General features: G+C 39.2%; 1 protein-coding gene and 2 long non-coding RNA genes across 5 annotated transcripts in view, besides 2 other annotated features; 2 read left to right on the top strand and 1 right to left on the bottom strand.

Annotated features, from left to right (window-relative positions):
* The window catches only part of LINC03147 (long intergenic non-protein coding RNA 3147), a 49,937-nt gene extending 46,953 nt beyond the window's left edge, over positions 1-2,984 (top strand). The window contains exon 3 of the long non-coding RNA NR_024354.1: positions 2,830-2,984. This is a non-coding gene — a long non-coding RNA (long intergenic non-protein coding RNA 3147). The remainder of the gene's footprint in view (positions 1-2,829) is intronic.
* Positions 1-22,169, bottom strand: part of LOC124900465 (uncharacterized) — a 145,830-nt gene that overhangs the window by 52,469 nt on the left and 71,192 nt on the right. The window lies entirely within an intron of this gene.
* Positions 18,606-18,655: an enhancer, noted in NCBI's record as "active region_18301". NCBI's record gives its function as "activates an Ori minimal core promoter by ATAC-STARR-seq in GM12878 lymphoblastoid cells {active_cell/tissue: GM12878}" and the evidence as "EXISTENCE:reporter gene assay evidence [ECO:0000049][PMID:35858748]".
* Positions 18,906-19,685: a silencer, noted in NCBI's record as "silent region_13223". NCBI's record gives its function as "represses an Ori minimal core promoter by ATAC-STARR-seq in GM12878 lymphoblastoid cells {active_cell/tissue: GM12878}" and the evidence as "EXISTENCE:reporter gene assay evidence [ECO:0000049][PMID:35858748]".
* The window catches only part of C21orf91 (chromosome 21 open reading frame 91), a 30,383-nt gene continuing 27,513 nt past the window's right edge, over positions 19,300-22,169 (top strand). For all 3 annotated transcript variants that reach the window (NM_001100421.2, NM_017447.4, NM_001100420.2), the window contains exons 1-2: positions 19,300-19,353; positions 20,331-20,464. In NM_001100421.2, the coding sequence (NP_001093891.1) occupies positions 20,338-20,464 (127 nt within the window). In that variant the 5' untranslated portion in view covers positions 19,300-19,353; positions 20,331-20,337. The remainder of the gene's footprint in view (positions 19,354-20,330; positions 20,465-22,169) is intronic.

The following is a 22,169-nucleotide window of genomic DNA, read 5'->3' as shown; positions in this document are numbered from 1 at the left end:
TGATCACAGAGGGGGCTGATGGCATTGGGTCACCCACCGCCCCAGCCCCAGGAGAATGTCTTTGTAGTGAGTAGCACTGTGGAAACATTGTGTAGCCCCGTCCCAAGGCATTTCCCTCTTTAGGGGGACCCAGGATTTCGTGTAAAGATGAGATCCTTGATTTTTAAAGACCTTGATGCTCTGCCTCCTGCAAACTGCTAATTTTTTGTCAGGACTGTTTGTTAATGGGCTCCTCCCGGAGCTCAGTGGTCCAGTTAGAAAATGGAGACTAAATTAGAAGCTACCTATCTAAATGAAATTGTTCTCTTATAAAGTCCTGTGGTGAATGCTTATGCTTTTGTGTTACCTTGGTATCCATTTTTAATCTTCCTCTAAGTAATACATCCAAACTCCTTAAATAATAATAATAAAGCTTAAATTCTTTCCCTGTGCTTTGAGATGTAAACTTGCTACCCTGGGGACTGATTAACTGTTCCATTTACAGAGGTATAGTTTAATCTAACTGTTCTTTTAAACTAGAGAATTTTACCAGTCTCATGGCTGGAATTTTAAAATCAAAGTTATGAGATTTTATTTGTGTGTATCTGTATTTTTATGTGTACATGTGCACATGTCTGTGTTTGCATGTTGTCCACATGGTACCAAACTGACTTATAAAGAAATGAGTGTTCATAAATTAAGTAAATAAGACTAAACACTTTTCAAATTCGTAAGACTTTAGTAATCTTTGTAAACAAAACTAGTCTTTAAATTGTTGGCAAAACAGAATAGAAATGTCTTCAAGATTGACGAAATTAAATTTAATTTTAGATATTTTTACCTGGGTCTACAGGTAAGACAAATTTATACTGTCTTTGCTAGATGTTTTAAACATCCTAAAATGGTTGCTTCCATGATTTTTTTTTATACCTGCTTAATTGTTTGTGAGCCTATGTCTTTGGTTTTGAGCCTTTAGATTCTGACATCTAGACAGGTGGCCATGGTGATGCCTGAAAACATGTGTATGTTGACAGCACTTAGGCCACCAGCTGCATGTCAGAGCCAAACCCAATGTGTCTTCCCTGGCCCAGTTGTGCCTTATAACCATGCTGGAGCAGGGTAAGAGTCTCTAGGTATTGTCTTCACAGCTATGTCCTTTGTCCTAGCTTCTGCACCTGATACATAATTAAAATTTCTTACTTACTAGGTTGTTCAATGAAAATTAGAGTCACTAAGAGGTAAAATTATAGTTAATATGTAACTAAAACTACTAGATACAAAAGAATTCTTTTGTACACAGAGTACATAAGAAAAGAAGGATGTGTTTTTTGGTAAAGAAGGTTATAAGAAAGGCAGGAGAATATGGTTTTGGTTAAAGGAAAAGTAATTTTGCTTACAGGTTATTTGAAGGTTATTTTAAATTAAAGGAATAAAAAAACTAAATGGATATAGAAAGTCTGGGAAAGAAGGAATTAAATTGTAAGAGGTTATAAAAGTTTTATAGAAATCTTATCTTGTGTGGTTAAAGCTGATTGAGATTGGATAGATCTGTTTGTAGGGTTTTATTAAAATTACTTTCACCATTAATAATACAAAGGTAGAATTTGGTTTTCTCTTGTGAATAAGATTTTTGTGTAGTATTAATAAGAAGTAGTAAAAGGATTTCATCTTTTGAGTAAACTGCAAAAAAAAAAAAATAGGGAGAGAAGGAGAGAGAGATTCTATTGGTCTCATGCTGTCTTTATTAAGTCTTGATGTTTAGAAAACTGAATCTCTCTATCAAAGATAAGGAATTGTTGTTTCATTTTGTTTTTTTGCTTTTTGAAATATTTTAATCATCACTTTGGCTAAATAAATTATTCCATTTTGCTCCAGGGTTTTAAACCTTTAATATTTAATAAACTTCTCAAAATCAAATTTCAAATTCTAAATTAAGTCATTTCATCAGGAACTAACTTTTGGACATCCCAAAAAGAACCCCTGGAAGTTCCAAAGAGAGATACTGGGCTTATTCAGTATGTAAAAAATCATACAGAAAAAACTGTCAAATAAGAAATGGCATTTAGCTTTGAGTTATATATGTATAAATGTGTGTGTCCCAAAATTGTATGAGATTACTAAAAATCTAATATATCTTGGTATATGTTATCAGTCATAATTATGATTAGTATGTTGAATTGTAGGCAACAAAAAAAGAAAATGCACAAATTTCCTTGTCAATTGCATCTTTAACCATGGCCATTTTAATACTTGTCTTTTTCTATCTTGGAAAGTTCCTTCCAGTCTTCCCAGTGACCAAGGAACCCATTTCACTAGACAAATAACTCAGTCTATTTGTAACATATGGTCAATTTTTCAGCATTTCCATTGGACATACTACCCTCCATCTTCCAGACTAGTAGAACACACAAATGGGATAATAAGAAAATAAATTGACAAAGCTTATAGAAACATTTAACTTTCCCTGGCCTAAGGCTCTTCCATTGTTATTGCTTAACTTACATTCTACCCAATTGGAAAACATCAGCTTTTTCCCTTTGAAATGATACCAGGAAGCCCCATGTGCCTGGATGAAGGAGTCTATAAACCAGCTCTCTTTAAAGATGATAGTCTTCATTATTGCCAAGGCATTAAAAAGCATTTCACTAAAAATTCTAAATTAATTGAGGATTCTTTTAACAGCAAGCTCTTGGGAGTTTATGACATCAAATATCATGGCTTCCAACTTTGAGATTTTTGGATTCCCTGTAATCATGTTGGAAGAAGCTATATCAAGTATTACTTATCAATACTTGTGCAGCTAAACTCAAAGGCATTGACTCATGGATTTACATTTCTCATTTTAAAAAGGTAGCCCTGCGTGAGTAGGCATCTTCCATCATCAGAGATCTCCAACTGAAGCTGACCTGCAGCCAGTCACCTGGTTCTTCAGACCAGGACAAGAAATTGAAACTCAGTTTAAAAAGATCACTCAAAAGGCTAAATGGCTACAAGATGACCCATGGTTGGAAAGACAGACCCCTTATATGATTTATTTGACTGGTTACCTTCAGGTATTGGAATATTTCTCACATTTGGATTTCAAATTGTTTAATTAGTAATTGTCCTTATTTGTGTCATATTTTTGATTCTTAAATCAATTATGCTTTGCATTTCTCTATCTAAAGTGTTTGTTGACAGAAACTAAACTCATGATAGCTAGATGCATAGAAATTATTCAACACGCCATACTTCCTTTGTAAGTGGATGAAATCCTGAGACCCAATTCCTCTGCCCCTTTGTGTTGCCAGTTAATTTAGCCTAAGACTTCACTAAATTCTTAAGCTGTAGTGCCTCTCCTCTTTCCCTCCAATGTAGAGAGAGATTACCCGGGAATGAGCCTTCCTAGCAATATGGGGAAAAGCTACGTTTAAAATGTTGATTATCAATGCTTTCAGAAGAGGAAGATCTCAATCAAAAAGGGGAAATGAGAAGAAAAGTAGCTCAGAGATGTCTGAGCTATGTGAGGTATGCAAAATGTATCAGATCCAGAGAGACATGAGTATTGAAAGCCAACTTGTAACTACTGCTAATCAAAGCATATATTCATGGCAACTTGAATCTGTGTCTCCTTGGTTGCAGTCCCCAAATTTGGCCCAAATAAATTCTCGACTTATGTTAATTTGCCTCAGTTTCTTTCTTTAGTTGACGAAAGGCACTATGAAAATCAAAATATTCTTTGGTATAGGCAGGGTTGCTAGCTTTATTTCCTCTGAATTTTAATAACCTTTTCTTATTTCTAGATATGAGATAATCTATTTTTTGTTTCATCACAGACATATATATGAGTAGTTCCTCTTTTTAAAATCACAGGTTTACATGTATTAAATGTGACAATTTCCCCTCTATATCTGTTAACTATATTTATCCATCATATGTCACAAATCAAAACAAAGGGAACTGTCAAATACCATTAGAGAACTTGGTAATCACAAAGTAGACAAGAACAAAAAGTGGAAATTCCAAAATCATTCTAGAAAAGAGGAAAAAAATAGGGATACTTAAGACTTAAAGATACTTAAAACAAACTTTAAATACATAAAGCAAACTAAGAGTAGCTCCTGAACAGCTTCCACATGCATATAAATTAATTCTCCTGTTATGTCTGTGGGAAAACAGTATATTACCTTTTCTTCCCACATAAACTTTCTTTCCAAACTTTTTTTGACCCTTTAAATGGAATATATCATTTTCATTATTTGGTTATGAAATATACAGAAGGTACTCGGGAAGCAGCAATGGAAGAGGCAAAAGCATTCTTGGCCCTCAGGAAACTTACAGTCTACCGGGCAATACCAACATTGAATGAGCAATTACAAGTACAATACAAAAGGAGCTTATACTTGGGGAGCTAACCTCTCATGGAGGGATGAGATTTAAAACTATTTTTATTGCCATCCTATGCATTATTAAGGAAACAGGGAAAGCTCAGGAAAGAATTACATTACAACAACATTTGAAGAAGGGTAAAGCAGAAGGGGAAAACCACAGCTTTAGACTTGAAATAGACAACGTATTCCAATCCAAGATTTCAGGTGCTTTCAAAAAGTAACTCAAATTTTATTTTTACTTAATTCCTTTATTTATATATATAAACCTGAAATTAAGCCAAAAAGCATGCTATGAGACCCAAAAAAACTCACATGCTACTCAACCAACCAAAAGTGTTTAGGACTTAAATGGGACAAAAGATTTCAATAGCACTAACAGCTCAAGGAATGTATGTTAAACCTTTTGTTTTACATCCAGAAAATTAGAAAACTGGGCTAAATATTGTATATATCAGAAGGTTTTAAAAATAATTTGTATGATTTAATTTTACCAAAGAAAGCTTACTCATTTAAAGACATTTTTATACCAGCCCTTTATATTATCAGTGGAAACTGTTTATTAAGAGGGAGTAGTATGGGGGCCGGGCGTGGTGGCTCACGCCTGTAATCCCAGCACTTTGGGAGGCCGAAGAGGGCGGATCATGAGGTCACGAGATCGAGACCATCCTGGCTAAACACTGTGAAACCCCATCTCTACTAAAAATACAAAAAATTAGCCGGGCATGATGGCGGGCGCCTATAGTCCCAGCTACTCGGGAGGCTGAGGCAGGAGAATGGCGTGAACCCGGGAGGCGGAGCTTGCAGTGAGCCGAGATCGCGCCACTGCACTCCAGCCTGGGCGACAGAGCGAGACTCCATCTCAAAAAAAAAAAAAAAAGAGGGAGTAGTATGAGATACAGAAATAGCATAAACCAAAATCTCACACTTAATCCTTTAGTGTTAATTGGATTTCAGAGTGGGTAAAGTATTACTACAAATCACAGCAATGGGACAAAACACTGCTTTGTTTTAAAACTGCACATGTGCTTTGTTCCCTGAGAACCTTTGGTTTAGACTTTTTGTACAGTAAGCCATTTCACTAAATATGGTTAGATTCACAGTCTAAGACCTTAAGTGACACACTCGATGACAACATTCTTACAAATTATAGCCAATTATATGGCACGATCTCAGCTCACTGCCATCTCCACCCCCCAAGTTCAAGGGATTCTCCTGCCTCAGGCTCCCAAGTAGCTAGGACTACAGGTGTGTGCTACCATGCCCAGATAATTTTTGTATTTTGAGTAGAGACGGAGTTTCACCATGTTGGCCAGGCTGGTCTCAAACTCCTGACCCCAAATGATCTACCTGCCTCAGCCTCCCAAAGTGCTGGGATTACAGGCGTGAGCCACTGTGCCTAGACTTCTCTAGATAAACTTTCAATGAGCCTAATGTGAAAAGTAGTCCAGTGAACCTAGTATTTTATGACATACTTTTTCATCCTAAGCATACATGTATTTGTCATTTGAATTCAAATTATCAAAAAGGAGTGGGGAATACACAACATCTCTTACTGAGTTTGAGTTATAAAGCCCATATACTCATTTGGCCACTAACACCATTTGCAGATATTGAACAGCTTTGCAAATAAAATTGTTCAATATATCAATGACTAGATAGCTGGCTTAGATTGATAGAGCTGTAGGGTTTTTTTTTTTAAAAAAAAGACATACACACACAAAACTAGTTTCCCAGAGGATAAAACTAAAATATTTAACGATCTGCAATTCTAATTTATTTTCCAGGCATACACGCAAAATTGACCAAGAGCCTATAGGAGCATATTTAAACAGCTACAATTTGATGTATGCATTCTAACCACAGTCAGAGTTCTACTTTTCTAAGTATTTAAGAAAAACCTATAAGTGGGCATAGAGAAGAAAGAAGCAAACTAGCAAGCTATCTCACATTTAACGCTATATAATCTTCTCCACCTATGAGTTTATGTCTCAATAGATAGGAACTAAATAATATGGTCACAATTGCCTACATTGGTGCCACTTCTTCTGTGGCAACAGAAGAGAACCTCCCTCAAATGGTGAAGGATGGATAGGTGAAATCCATCTTCATATGTCTAGAAGACAAATTATCTGTCTAGGACACTTATCACAGAGCAAATGCTTACCATCATTCAAATTCAGTAGAACTAGTGGAACTCCTGTACAACTACTACTTTTTTACTGAATTTGTAATTGTTCCACTATTGTCAGTTCCATGAGGACATGCACAAACTGCATCTTTATCTTTTTACCTCTAGGTTTTGCATAGAGCCTAGTATATAGAAAATTTACTCAATAAATGAATGAATGGACAAATGGTTGAATGAGTTGCAGTGTGGTAGCAAATTAGTCTCAGTAGCTACTGAAGATACTGCTGCTGTATCAGTTAGGATGTTTACAGGTACATCAACAAATGACAGTACAGTAGACCCAAATGGGTTAAATAAAGTAGAAGCGTATTATCTCATTTAAAAAGAAAATTATTCCAACATCGGAACAGGGATTCAATTATGTCATATGGGTTGAGATTCTTTCTGTCTTTCCCGTCATTAAATCTCGGAATGTTAGCAATGTCTGCCTTCATGATCATAAGACAGGTGCTGAAGTTCCAACATCGTATCATCATGAGAATAAAAAATACTCACAGAATCCCAGCACTTTGGGAGGCTGAGGTGGGTGAATTGCCTGAGCTCAGGAGTTCGAGACCAGCCTAGGCAATGTGGCGAAACCCCATCTCTACACAAAATACAAAAATTAGCTTGGTGTGGTGATGCACACCTGTGGTCCCAGCTACTCGGGAGGTTGAGGCAGGAGGATCACTTTAGCCCAGGATTTTGGGGCTACAGTGAGCTACAGTGATGTGCCTCTGCATTCCAGCCTGGGTGACAGAGTGAGACCCTGTCTCTACCAAAAACAAAAACAAAAACAAAACCCACAGCAGAAAGGAAGGAAGTGAAAGGAAAACAAAATTTTTTCTAGAGATCCTTCATGCTACCATATTTTTGCTTATCCCTCACTGGCCAACATGCTTCACTTGTCCATTGTTAGATTGATCACCAACAAGAATAATGGAATTTCCATAATTGGCATAGACTAGGTCTCTATGGAGAGAACAGAGAAAAAACAGATGCACTCATCCTGCCCTACACTGCGAAATGAGCAAAGTAAAAATTCTATCTATGTGCAATAGGAAAGAATAACTGTAACCTGCAGTATTTGCATAGCTGACATATAGCATGATATATAGCAGATCCTGAAAAGTCAACATACTCTCAAATTATTCATTCACTCACATAACATAGATTTGTTGAGCACCTACCATGCAGCAGGCACTGTTCTCTATACCTGACAGATATCAGAGAATATAATGTAACTTCTAAACCTCATGGAGTTTACATGCCAAAGGAGGAAGACAGATGATAAACAATTAGTATAATAAATAATTATATGTTATATATCATTTCATATATTTATATATATGTATATATATATAAATATATGAAAGTGACAAGTAGTGTTTTAAAAAAATCACAGTAAGATGGGTCCAGGTGGAAGTTTCAAATAGGGTGATCAGAGAAGACCTCCTTGAAAAGTGACAATAATTTCAAGGAGAAGGGGCCAAAAACACCCTCTCACCTGAAAAGCTGACTGATTCTGGATTCTAAATGGCAAAAGGTCAGATTATTGCCTCCCCAGTAAAGCCTAATTATTCAGATAGCCTCAAGATAGCTGCTATTAACGTGAAAGAACATGTCAGAGAAAGAGCAAAAAAGCAAAAGCTGAAGTACTATCTAGAATACATCCAGAAAATGTTTTGGTTGTGCTTACAGGCACCTTGGAAGCAAATAAACTTAGAATTTACTAAGACTGAGGAAACTGTGTTGCTAAAGAATCTATGAGCCTAAGAACCAAATAGCCTTGTGACTCTATGGGCCTACAAACTAAGCTGTAAAATATATGCAGCTTTCAAGAGGAACAAATTCCCCAAAGCCCTCTTAGATCTGATCAAGAAGAATAATAGGCAAAGAAGTTACTTCCAGATAGCACAGCAGGGGGCCAGAGACCAATGGACAAGAATTTACTCCCATAAAGCAGAAATAAGGCCCAATCAAGGAAGTTCCTTCACTACTAAGACAGAGGTCTTTGACCCCCACCGTGTCTAGCTGGTTTCTATCAGTGCTATGGACCAGTGACTGCTGTGTTTCTCCTTCTTCCCTTTTCTGAATAGGAGTTTTAACTGCAGTTATCCTGTCTCTGGTCCACCATTTATTCTGGTGGGAAGAAGGAGTGACAGAAAGAGAGGATGTATTTTACCTTCAACTTATAGGTCACCAGATAACTAGGAGCTACCTATGGATGTGAGTGAGAGGACTGATCATCACCAATCAACATACCTATGGATGCTGAGCTGGATGCAGCAGCTGACTATAACCTTGAATTGTCTCCCTGGCTGAAGGGGTGAATGTGCTCCTTGGGGCTTGCCCAGAGAGAGGATGAGTATGAGAAGGATATACACAGAAACTTGGCAGCCAGAGTTTCAGGCTGTGGGAGAGACAGCTCGTCATCTACTAAAAATTATCCACTCGTTATTCCTAGGCACAAAAATAGGTTACATTTCCCCATCTCCCTCACAGACTGATGTAACCATGTGACTAAATTCTCAGTAATGAAATGTGAAATACGAGTAGATGTGGTATGTGCCTGCCTCTTCAGGAATGGGCCTTTTAAGAGAGGTGTGCTTCCTCCACACTACCCCCCTTTCCAGTGGCTGAAATCTGGATGCAATCCTGACCTTGCACCAGATGACAAGGTCCTAGAGGATGGAAGAAACCTGGGTCCTTAAATCACCATGTGAAGGAGAGCTACTACCAACCTGGGGTACCTACCTTCAGTTATTACATGAGGGAAAAACCATTTTCTTGTTTATTAAGTCACTGAATTTCTAAGTCAGGGTTTATAACAATTTACCCTCCGCTAACACAAACATTTTGCTAATGTATAAATTATCTCCTATATATTTTAAGATGGCAAAAAAGAATATAATACACTTTGGAAGCCTTTCTTTCAAAATAGCTAAAATGTTTTCAGTTTTGAAACCTACATTTTCCAGTTATTTTGAAAACAAATACTATGGTGGGATCCCTTATTACAGACTATAGATAATGAATTATTAATATGCTTAACATATAAGATTTAGCAAAATAATGAAAAAAGCAAGAAATAAAAGTTATTTGCCAATGTGGTACTTAGACATCTTCATGGTGCTACAGCAATTGAAATGCAAACGTATTCTATTGCCATTAAAAACTCCTTTCCAAATGCAATTACTTAATGCCTTTTGCTTATACTAAGCAGTAAATTTCTCAAGAGGAAGAACTTTGTTTTGCTCTCTACTGTGTAACTAATACCCGGCACAGTATCTCACATATAATGTGCATTTAATAAATAATTATTGAATGAATAAATCAATGATTGATTGAATGAAGGAATTTCATTTTTCATTGGTTTTAACTTTTGTGAAAAAAATAGTGTTTAGTAGAAATTAAAAAAGCAGAAAAGCAAAAAAGTTGTACTTTTTTTTACTACCCTTAATGCTGTTAAATGGAACTAAATATGGCCTGAGAAAGCCTCTCTATTTCCATACTTGAGTCCTATTGGACAAACCATAACCTAACGTAGCAGGTAGACAAGACTGAAAACCTAACTTAGGAGAATGCTTCTGTGGCAATAACTGAATCTCAGCCAATCCCAGGAGCCATACTTTGGCCACTCACACACTGCTCAGTGTTCCAACTGTGTTCAAATAAGGCAAATGCCAAGCTGTAACCAATCCAGCTGTTTCTGTACCTCACTTCCATTTTCTGTATGTCACTTTCTTTTCTTTCCTTTTTTTTTTTTTCTATAAATTGCTCTGACCACGAGGCATCCCTGGAATCTCTATGAATCTGCTGTGATTCTGGAGGCTGCCTGATTTGCGAATCATTTTCTTCTTGCTCAATTCAACTCTGTTAAATTTAATTTGTCTAAGGTTTTTCTTTTAACAATGCTATATTTCTCTCAGCATCAAACTTCAAAATTGTATCTCATTCAATGGGTACACCAATAGTAAACTCAGAAACACGTCTGGATTTTAATTTCTAGCTTGAGTATTCTATACCCAAAGACTGATACTTACACAATGGAATATAAAAATAAACCTCTGGTAAATTATGAAACAGACTTTTCTAACTTCAGACATCAATACTAAACTTTCCTTTTATCACCTTGAATTTAACAGGGGGGACTGTGCACATTACTGAAGACTGGATTTGGCTCACAGCAGACACAAAAAAAATCAATAGCTTGGTAGTTAACTCCCAATCTTCTCCCAGAAATGCCAACACAGAATTTATCCATAGACTAGAAATAGGTTTGCTTTGTTCTGCTTGCAAAACAAGACAATGGATCAGCAGACAGCTTACCCATAATGTCAGCATTACTAAAACTATAGGTAATAAATCCCTTTAATGCAAATATCTGTATCTCAAACTTTCAGAGGGATGCTTGTCTAAGCTTTAGAGGAGCCATAATTTTAAGAGTGATATTTTCTTCAGGGTTAAAGATTCCAAAAGAGCAGCGCTAGACTCCCTGTGTAGAATCTTATAAGGATTACACTTTTAGAAAATGGATGAATAAAACTGAAATAAGCCTGCCAAATTGTTCAATTTCAGTGGAAATCAAAAATAATTTTTAAGCAAATTATTATTATTATTATTATTTTTGAGAAAGAGTCTTGCTCTGCCACCAGGCTGGAGTGCAGTGGCATGATCTCGGCTCACTGCAGCCTCTGCCTCCCAGGTTTAATAGATTCCTCTGCTTCAGCCGCCCAAGTAGCTAGGACTACAGGTGTGCGCCACCACACCCAGCTAATTTTTTGTATTTTAATAGAGACGGGGTTTCACCATGTTGGCCAAGATGGTCTCCATCTCCTGACCTGGTGATCTACCTGGCTCAGCCTCCCAAAGTACTAGGATTACAGGTGTAAGCCAACATGCCCAGCCTCAAATATATTCTTTAATCCAGCATTTCATCTAAGATTAAAAATTTAATTGTTAGTGTTTATTAATCAGTTTTAATTTTTAATGTGATTCATTCATTTAATAAATATTGAGCACTGCAGTAGAGATTGCTTGCTGAAATTGCAATATCTATGCTCCCTCTTTTAGAAGCCCTGACTTTTAGCTGGCCATATGGTCATCTGGAATAAAGATGTGGTCCCCAAGCCCCCACCTCAGTTTGAGTCTAGAAGACGGAGATTGCAGTAAATCAAGATTGCACCACTAAACTCAAGCCTGGGTGACGGAGCAACTCTGTCTCATGGAAAAAAAAAACAAAGCAAAATGCATGCTTAAGAACTTTGAAAATCAGAGTCACCACACTCACCCTGGCTGCTCAATTCTAGTCTTCAACATAAGAGAAAAAAATAAAGTACAACTTTTTTTTTTTTTTTTTGAGACAAGGTCTCACTCTGTTGCCCAGGCTGGAGTTCAGTGGCACAATCCCAGCTAATTGCAGCCTTGACCTCCCATACTCAAGCAATCCTCCCACCTCAGCCTCCTGAGTAGTTGGTACTACAGGCCTGCGCCACCACACCCGGCTAATTTTTTTGGTATTTTTTTGTAGAGATGGGGTTTCACCATGTTGCCCAGGCTGGTCATGAATTCTTGGACTCAAGTGACCCTCCTGCCTCAGGCTTCCAAAGTGGTGGGATTACAGGCATGAGCCAGCATGTCTGCCCATGTCCAACTTTTTATGTCACTGTTACTTGGGGATTTTTATATTACTTGCAGTGAAACTTAATCCTACTGGATTCAAACACAAATTATAAGACATTATAATTTGTAAGTGTTAAACACAAGATGAGTAAGGCAGAGTTTCTGCATACAAATCAGCTTAAAATTTAGCAATAAATAATGATGTAGAAAGAGTACCAGACTAGATTATGACAGATAGATTTTTCCTGCTTAATAGGTTTCAAACCAATTCCCTTCCTCTGGTAAGAGCAACCACTTTCCTTTTGGGAAACTTGTCTTCCATATCTTGAGATCAAATTTTAATTCCTACACCCCCACTCCTGAGCCAACTTCAATCATTTGGGAATGGAGGAAGAGCTGGAAATGTAATAGAGCCTGGCCAATTAAAGTACTAGCAATTGTGTTTGATTCAGAGACAAGCATATGAATCACATTTGGCCATTCAGAATCCCGCTGTATTAATCAGCTATCACTGCAAAATGTTGCATAATTGTACAACCCCCAGTACTTGTATTAATCTGTTCTCACATTGCTATTAAAAACTACCTGAGACTGGGTAGTTTATAAAGAAAAGATGTTTAATTGACTCAGTACCACAGGCTGTACAGGAAGCATGGCTGGAGAGGCCACAAGAAACTTACAATCATGGTGGAAGGTGAAGGGGAAGCAAGCACATCTTCACATAGTGACAGGAAAGAGAGAGTGCAAAGGGGAAAATGCTACACACTTTCAACCATATATCATGAGAACTCACTATCACCAGAATAGCAAGGGGGAAATCCACCTCCATGATCTAATCACCTCCCACAAGGTCCTTTCCCCAACATTGGGGATTAGAATTCAACATGAGATTTGGGTGGGGACACAGAGACAAACCATATCAGTACTTTAATAACCAACATCATGGATCTATAGGTCAGCTGGGGCAACCCAGAGCTAGGCTGCAAGTTGGACCCTTCAATCTGTTTGATCTCTACATCTCTCTCATCTTTCTTGGACCAGCAAATACCTGGATGAAGGTCTTCTTGTGACATATGACAGAGATAAAGAAGCCAAGCTAAGGCACACAAGCACATTTAAGGTCTCTGCTCACTGTCATGTTCATTAATATCTCATTGGGATGGGGAAATATATTCTGCTCACTACAGTGAACTATAAGGTCACATGTAAGTGAAAGGGGGTGAAGAAGTAGAAATAATAATTCAGTCAATCAGTCACACCATCTTGAATTTCCAGTACCTTCAGGATCATGGTACCAGAAGGCTTTGAGCCTGGGGCTACATATGCCAATCTTCCTGGCTAAATGGAAAAAGCACCTCTCTAATTGGAGAGAATTAGATAACATAGGAGGAGAAACAAATAGGTGAGAGATGGGTGGATGGATATATTGAATATACTAAATCCTTTATTTTAAAAATGGGGCCATGTCAGAAAAACATACTAAAAATAGTAGTGCTATGAGCAAGCATTGTGGGAATTCAGGAAAGTAAAAGGACTAGAGATATTTTTGTAGCAGACATTCATTTGAATTGGACTTTAAATGATGAGAAAAATTTTCACCATTGTAGAGGAAATGCAATGATTTTCAGAAAAAAACATTATGCGATCTCTCTAACAGATATTGTTGGTCTCCCTCATGGAGACCTACTAGGGCAGTGCAGATGGGAAACGTGGGGTTGGAGCACCCACACAGAGTCCCCTCTGTGATACTGCCTAGTGGAGTTGTGATAAGAGGGCCACTGTCCTCCAGACCCCAGAATGGTAGATCCACTGACGGCTTTCACCTTGCACCTGGAAAAGCCGTAGGCACTCAAAGCCAGCTCATGAAAGCAGCCTCAGGGGCTGTACCTTGCAGAGCCATGTAGGCAGAGCTGCCCAAGACCTTGGGAGCCCACCTCTTGCATCAGTGTGCCCTGGATGTGAGACATGGAGTCAAAGGAGTTTATTTTGGAACTTTAAGATTTAATGGCTGCCCCACTGGATTTCAGACTTGCATGGGGCCTGTAACCCCTTTATTTTGGCCAATTTCTCCCTTTTGCAATGGAAGTATTTATCCAAAGTCTATATCCGCATTGTATGTTGGAAACAACTAACTTGCTTTTGATTTTACAGGCTCATAGGCAGAAGGGACTTGTCTCAGATGAAACTTTGGACTTGGGCTTTTGAATTAATGCTGGAATGAGTTAAGACTTTGGGGGACTGTTGGGAAGGCATGGTTGTGATTTTAGATGTGAAAAGGACGTGAGATTTGGGAGGGGCCAGGGTGGAATGATATGGTTTGGCTCTGTGTGCTCACACAAATTTCATCTTGAATTGTCATCCTCACATGTCGGGGGAGGGGCCTGGTGGGAGGTGATTGAATCATGAGGGTAGACTTTTCCCTTGCCGTTCTCGTTATAGTGAGTGAGTTCTCACGAGATCTGGTTATTTGAAAGTGGGTGGCACTTCCTCCCTTGCTCTGTCTCTCTCCCCTTCTCCACCATGATAAGACATGCTTTCTTCCCCTTTGCCTTCTGCCATGGTTGTAAGTTTCCTACGGCCTCCTATTCTATCCATGCTTCCTGTGCAGCCTGTGGAACTGTGAGTCAATTAAACCTCTTTTCTTCATAAATTATCTAGTCTCAGGTAGTTCTTTAGAGCAGTGTGAAAATGGACTAATATAGCTGTTATTACAAAATAGTCAAAATATTTAAAAAATTAAAGTTTATTCAGTAAAAAATTTATAGTAAGCTAAGGTTAATTATTGATGAAAGAAAAATTTATAAAATAAACAGTGTAGTATACATGTGCAGTGTTTATAAAGTCTACAGTGATTTTTAGTAATGTCCTAGGCCTTCACATTCAGTCACCATTTACTCACTGACCCACTCAGAGCAACTTTTACTCCTGCAGGCTCCATTCACAATCAGTGCCTGATATACCATTTTTTTCTTTTATACAGTATTTTTACTATACCTTTAGTATGTCCAGATACACAAATACATTGCCTTATAATTGCCTATAGTATTCAGTACAGTCATATGCTGTACAGGTTCAAAGCCTAGGTCTTTGAATAGTCAAGGATTTTACCTTTAACTAACTACAATTCTTACTAATTTAGTAACTCAGTGAAGTGTGCAAAAATGTGTTATAAACTATAAAGCGATATACAATAACTAGTTTTGTAATTAGCTCTTGGCCTAAAACAGACATTACTTTGACTTTAGGCTTAGTTAGGAATCTGTATTAATCTGTTCTCACACTGCTGATAAAGACATACCTGAGACTGGGCAATTTACAAAAGAAAGAGGTTTAATGGACTTACAGTTCCAATTGGCCAGGGAGGCCTCACAATCATGGTGGAAGGTGAAAAGCACATCTCACATGGCAGCAGACAACCAAAATCTAGAAAATATGAATTCTAGGACACTGAAACACAGACAGTACAAACATGTGATCCATAATAGGAAAGAAACAAATGAGAGGAGACCTATAATTACCCTGATTTTATGCATGGAAGTACTTTCAGACCATGGTCCACATAAGGAAATCCAAGCAAAGTTGCTCTGGGGAGAAAAAGATTTGAGTTTGGGGAGTCTAAGACGGGCTGGAATTTGCAATAAAAACTGGCAGAAAGGAAAAACTATAGAGTTTCAGAATACTCTTTCTTTAAGTCTTTGGCTGAATACTAAGCTGTGCATGTATAGGGCGAGACTTTACAGAAAATTTAAATACCAGGGCAAAAAAATAACTATCACCGAAAGAACAATTACTGGGGAACTACAAACTGAACACCTGCTGGAACTCACAGGGACAGGAGTCATTTGAGTTTTAATCAACTAGAGTGCAGAATCTTTATTAAATACCCATGACATACAATAGAGGGTCTAAGAAGCCACTCTTCAAGGACTGGACTAAGATATCCATATTACAAAATGATAGTGTAGACCCTCACAAGGTTTACAAACAAGTCTCTAAAGAAGCAAGCTGATCAGCCACTAGAGTAACATCTTCCCAAAATAAATCTCAACCTTCTTTAAAAATTTCGACATTCAATCTTTGTAATGCTGGCATAACTAACACAAGTTTAATGGCTTGAAACAACACCCATTTATTATCTCACAGTTCTGTAGGTAAAAATTCCAGTACAGCATGATTCAGTTGACTCCTCTATTTAGAATCTCATAAGGCTGAAATCAAAGTGTTGGAAGATTGTTCAAATGAGCTTCTCAATCTATGCAGGCTGTTGGCTGAATTCTGTTCCTTGCAGTTTAAAGACTGTAGCTCCCATTTCCTTGCTGGCTACCAGCTGGAGACCAGTGTTTGCTCCTAGAGCAATGGTGGGTCAAGTCCCTCTCATGCTTCTAATCACTTTGACTTTCTCTTTGCTACATTTCTCTGAGCTTACTTGGAGAAAGATCTCTGGTTATAAGGGTTCATGTGATTAGATTGGGCTCAGCGCAATAATCCAGGAAAACCTATTTTAAAGTTTATAACCTTAATTATATCTACAAAGTCTCTTTTGCTATGTTACATACATATTCAAAATATCCAAGAATTAGCGTGTGGACATCTTTTTCTCTTTTTTTTTTTTTTTGAGACAGAGTCTTACTCTGTCACCCAGGCTGGAGTGAAGTGGCACAATCTCAGCTCACACAACATCCACCTCTAGGACTCAAGCCAGTCTCCCACCTCAGCCTTCTGAGTAGATGGGACTACAGGCATGCACCACCCTGCCTGGCTAATTTTTGTGGGGTTTTTTGGTAGAGATGGGGTTTCACGATGTTGCCCAGGCTGGTCTCGAACACCTAGACACAAACGATCAGCCCACCACAGCCTCCCAAAGTGCTAAGATTACAGGTATGAGCCCCCATGCCCCACTGATCCCCAGCGTTGGAGGTGAAGCTTGGTTGGGGAGTGGAGAGCAAGGGGTTGGAGCTTAGTTATGGATCCCTGATGAATGGCTTGGTGCCATTCTCTAGGGTGTGAATCAATTCCCACTCTTAATTCCCAGTGGAACTCGTTTTTAAATAAAATAAAATAAAAAATAAAAAATAAATAAAGAGAGAGCAAGCTTGGAATTTCCTCCCCTCTCTCTCTTGCTCACTCTCAGGCCACATGATCTCTGCACATACTGGCTCTCCTTTGCCTCCTATCATGAATGGAATCAGCCTGAGGCCATCACCAGAAACAGATGCTGGCACCATGCTTCTTGTACAGCCTCCAGAACCATGAGCCAAATAAACCTGTTTTCTATATAAATTATCCAGCCTTGGGTATTCCTTTATAGGAACACAAACTGACTAAGACGAGCAGTGAAAAGAAACCACTGTTACAAAATACCATCGTGAATCTCAAAAACATGCTGCATGACAATAGCCAATCACAAATGAACACACACTGCTTAATTCTATGTATATGAATTCCTATAACAGACAAAACTAAAACACTTCGTCATATAAATTAGATCCCATGTTGAAGGAGCTTGACCAGAAAGGAACAGAAAGAAATGTCGGGGCTGTGGAAATGTTCTGTATCCTCACTGGGGTGGTGGTTACTCAAGTGTATGTATTTGCCAAAACTCATCAAATAATGCTTTTAAAATGGAAGCATTTTATTTCTGTAAATTATTCCTTGATTTTTTTTAAAAAGCCAACAACAAGAGAGAAGAGTTTTAAGAATAGCAAGTAAACAATGTGAAATGCCATAGGAAGGAAGACAATTCTGAGAAGTGAAAATAACTTGTTTCAATTTTTAAATTTTAGTGATTTTAGAACACTTTTATTGAATCACTTTAAAAGAGTCCTTTTTAAAAGAATGCTTTTTATTGAAAAGATGGGTAGAATCCAACATGCAAGGTATCTTAGTCGTAGTTACCTAGAATGAGAAATTCGAAGAGAAAAAGCACAGGCTTTTCATTTCAATTAGTGCATCTCAAACTTCGATGAACATAGGAATCTCCTGGCGGTCTTGTTAAAGTGCAAGTATTGATTTAGGAAATCTCGAGTGGGGCCTGAGATTCTACATTTCTAACAGGAAACCAAGTAATGTCAATGTTGTTTGTTCATCTACTACAATTTAGGTGGCAAGGACACAGATCGCTCCTGCGAGGCACAAATGCCATAACTGGAGTGCTAATTTGGCCCAGAAGTTTCCAAGATCTAGACAGTCCATTCCTAACCATCAGTTCAAGAATGCCTACATGTAGATTGACAGGCTAGCCCTCTTTCTATGTGAGTGCAACCAGAACACATACATATGATGCTGTAGAAAATAACATTGATCTTAGGTCAGTAGCCTTCGGTTCAAGTCCCAGCCTTTTTCTAACCAACTGTGATAACCTGGGTCAATTACTCGTAGGCTGCAACATGAGAGAACAGTTCCTGTTTCTCCTCTGTAGGTTACTGTGAGGACTACAATGGAAAATGTAAGTGAAAGTACTGCAAGAACCATACCCTAAAAAAAACAGAATAGCTTAAACAAAAGTCAAGCAAAGAATTTGAGAACCAAGCAGGACCTAAAAATAAGAGGTGGGGCTTCGGGATTTTTCCCGTGGGCGTTGAGGGATGTACCATATTGGGGGCAGGGGCGCCCCACAACAAATAATGTATTTGAAAAGATTCTGTATTTGAAATTATGCCTCTATCATGACACCTGAATATGAACTTTTCCTTCGTTAGATACTTCAACTGGCACTTAACTATAAGTTCAGTGACAGTATTCTGCTTCTTTCTCCTGAAGTCAAAGTGCCACCCACGCACCTCTCCCGTTCTGCCATCCACCCGCGGCTTTCCTACCCCCGCCGCCTGCGGCCCCCGCCCCGGGGCAGTAGTTTGCACTAGGCTGAAGGGAGAGGTGGAACGGATTCGTCTATCTACGCACCTCGAGGAGGGGTGTGTGAGGAGCTACGTTCCAGAGAACGGTAAGAAACTCCGGCCAGGAAACACGGGATCACAGGAGAACTCGAGGCGAAGGTGCGGCGTCGGTGCAGGAGCGGAGGGGCGGACCCACAGCAGCCCGGCGAGCGCGCAGGTGTGCCCGCGGCCGCGCCACCCTCCCCGCAGCCTTTACGGGATGGAGCCGGCGGGAGAGGGCGGGGCCAGGCGCGCGGCGGCCGCCTCTGCTGCGGCCGGAAACAATAGTGGAGGAACCCGAGCCGCACGGAACGGCGGTGGTGGCCCGCGGAGCCGGACGGTAAAGACCCCGCAGCCCTGCTCCCATCCCACCTGAGCCCCGACCCCCAGTCCCATCGTTCCGCCTCCTTCGAGTTCCGAGCCCCGTGGCCCCTCGCGCTGCTGCGCGCCAGGCGCCCCGACGGACAGACCGACGGAAAGACGGACTTGGGTCCGCGACTCCCTGGGGGCGGCCGCGCGCCCCCAACGCCGAAGGCCGGGCCAGGACCCGGCTCCCCGAGACGCTGAGGCTGGGCGGACCGGCCGCCGTGGCCCTCGGACGCTTTCTTCCCTCTGGGAGGAATCCCGGAGCGATGGGACGAGGCTCTCCCGCCCGCCGGGCTCCAGGATGCCGCGGCTCTCCCAGCTCCGGCTTGGGCCCCTCCGGCGGTGCCCGGCCGGTACCGTGAAGCCGCCGCTCGGCCTTCGGTGTAGTTGCCCCGGACACGGCGGGACGCCCTCCCCGGGTATTCGGTACCCACGTGCATTTTGCTGCCGCCGATCTCCGTTCGATGCGAAGCTTCGCAACTCCGAGTTCGCGAGGCGCATCTGAGGTTCCCCCAATGAAGTTAGCAAAGCAGTGTCCCGTGCAGGTCGTTTTTCCTGTTTCTCACAGCGTTAACTAGGTTGACAGAACCTGGTAGCTGAAAAGGCCTCGCTGCTAAGCCCTCTGATTATTCGAGGTTGGGGGACGAAGGAGGAGGACTAGAATGCCGGCAAATCTCTTTCCTTCAGGTGCCACTAACCCAATCAACTATAGGACAAAAAAGACACGGACATAGTGTCACCTATGGCCTGGCTTTAAGTTTTACTAGCTTTGTGTCTTTCCACAGGAAAAGTGCAATGTTGGAGTGCAAGTATGGCGATGCTTGTTTGATGGAGCTTTTGCTTTAAATGAGCTGAACAGCATCCTTATTTCCTAGAAGTTCCCAGTAAAGGGAACTACCCCAAAGGCAGGTTCATGAAATTGTGTAACTTTCCTTTTCTGTTTCTTAATAGGGGCACTATGAACGAAGAGGAGCAGTTTGTAAACATTGATTTGAATGATGACAACATTTGCAGTGTTTGTAAACTGGGAACAGACAAAGAAACACTCTCCTTCTGCCACATTTGTTTTGAGCTAAATATTGAGGGTAAGGACACAGTATAGTTTTGATCTTATGGAATGAATTTAACACAGCTGCTTTGTACTGATTGTAAGGTAAAACTAAAATGTCTTCAATGATTGGAAATTGTGCTAAGTATGAATAGTGTAGAGATTTGTTAAAGATAAGGTTTCTGGAAATGAAGGTGCAGTTAACAGAGTTACGAATTTAAGAGAAATCTTTTTTTTTTAAAGACCCCTGCAACAACCCCATTTTTCCTAATACAGAAATAAGTATGAGTGTTGACTGGGAAACGTGTTTTCTGGTTTGAGAGCTTATTGAATTGTCAGATTTTAACAGACCTGTGTGTTTTTTATATTAAGAAGTAACATAACAATTTTTTTATTCTTTCGAGCCTATTATGCAAGTATTTGAGTGAGATGAGCCCGAACTCTTTTCTCACCAGTATGATCTTATTATCTGGAAAAATACTTTAAAATTTTTAGATTAACCTCTTTTCAGTGATCACACACACTGTTGGTAATTTTTAAAACCTGAAAAGGTTTTTAAAATTTTTTTAATAATGTCCCTAAGATATATGAAGAAAAATTCTCCAAATCCAAAAAGAAACCCCAAAAAAAAGCCCTATTGGAAGGATTTATTTGGGTTGGTGCAGTTAGTGTTGTCATATTACAATTGATTTTTGGTTTAGATATTTATGAGTCATACTAAAAAAAACCTTAATATTCCTGCAAAAAAAATTTGGCCTGTAATTTGAGTTTTGAGTTGTAACATATCAGTAGAGAGACTTTATTAAACCTCTAGATTTTGGACAGTTTCAAAATAGTTCTTTCCTTTTTTCTGTATTATATATTTGAAATTTTTCATGATCTTTATTTTCTGTTTACTAAGTATGGGGTATGAAATGTTCTTATTGTTTAAAAAAATATAGTGGGGGATTATATACCTTGAAATTCCTGTTAGGACTTGTTATTCAGAAATTATTATGGTCACCAAACAGTATGTGATGGAAGATTATGGATTTCTTGTGGATTACATAGAATATCTATAACTTCAGCTTTAATAAATGTAGTGATTATAGCTAATTTCAAAAGATGACATAACAGGAACAGTGGTGTGTTCCTACAATCTCAGCTACTCCAGAGGTTAAGGTGAGAGGATTGCTTGAGCCTAGGAGTTCAAGTCCAGTTTGGGCAACATAGCAAGACCCCATCTCTAAAAAATTAAATAAAAATAAAAGGATATCTTAAAAATAAGTTTCTTTTACAGTACTTAAATCATGCTGGGGTGAAAATCCAAATTTATGTTCTTTGGAAATAGAGTTGGCTTGTATATTGTTGATACATTGTAGAATTTTAATTTTAGATGAGTAAAGACATTAGAAATTATCTAGTCCAAACCCTGTATTTTACATTTAAGGAAACAGCCAAAAAGTTGGACTGCCCAGGGTTGCTGTAGTGGTGATGGCAAGCTGTTGTTATGTGCCAGGCACTGTGCTAAACCCCTTATGTGGATTATCTTATTTAACTCAAGATAGCTTTGGAATGACTACTGTCATTTTCTATTTTAAATGTGATAGAACTGAACCTTGGCGACCTAAGAAATACAGTTTGAAGTCACACAGCTCATAACTGTTGGTCCTGGACTTTAAAGCCTGGCAGTCTGGTTCTAGTATATGTGATCTTAATACCATTGATCTACTGTCAATAGTTATTTTATAGCAATAGGGCTG

Source organism: Homo sapiens, chromosome 21 (genome assembly GCF_000001405.40).
Source record: "Homo sapiens chromosome 21, GRCh38.p14 Primary Assembly".
Lineage (NCBI taxonomy): Eukaryota > Metazoa > Chordata > Mammalia > Primates > Hominidae > Homo > Homo sapiens.
The sequence above is the reverse complement of the archived record's forward strand: the minus strand, read 5'-3'. Positions and strand labels throughout refer to the sequence as shown.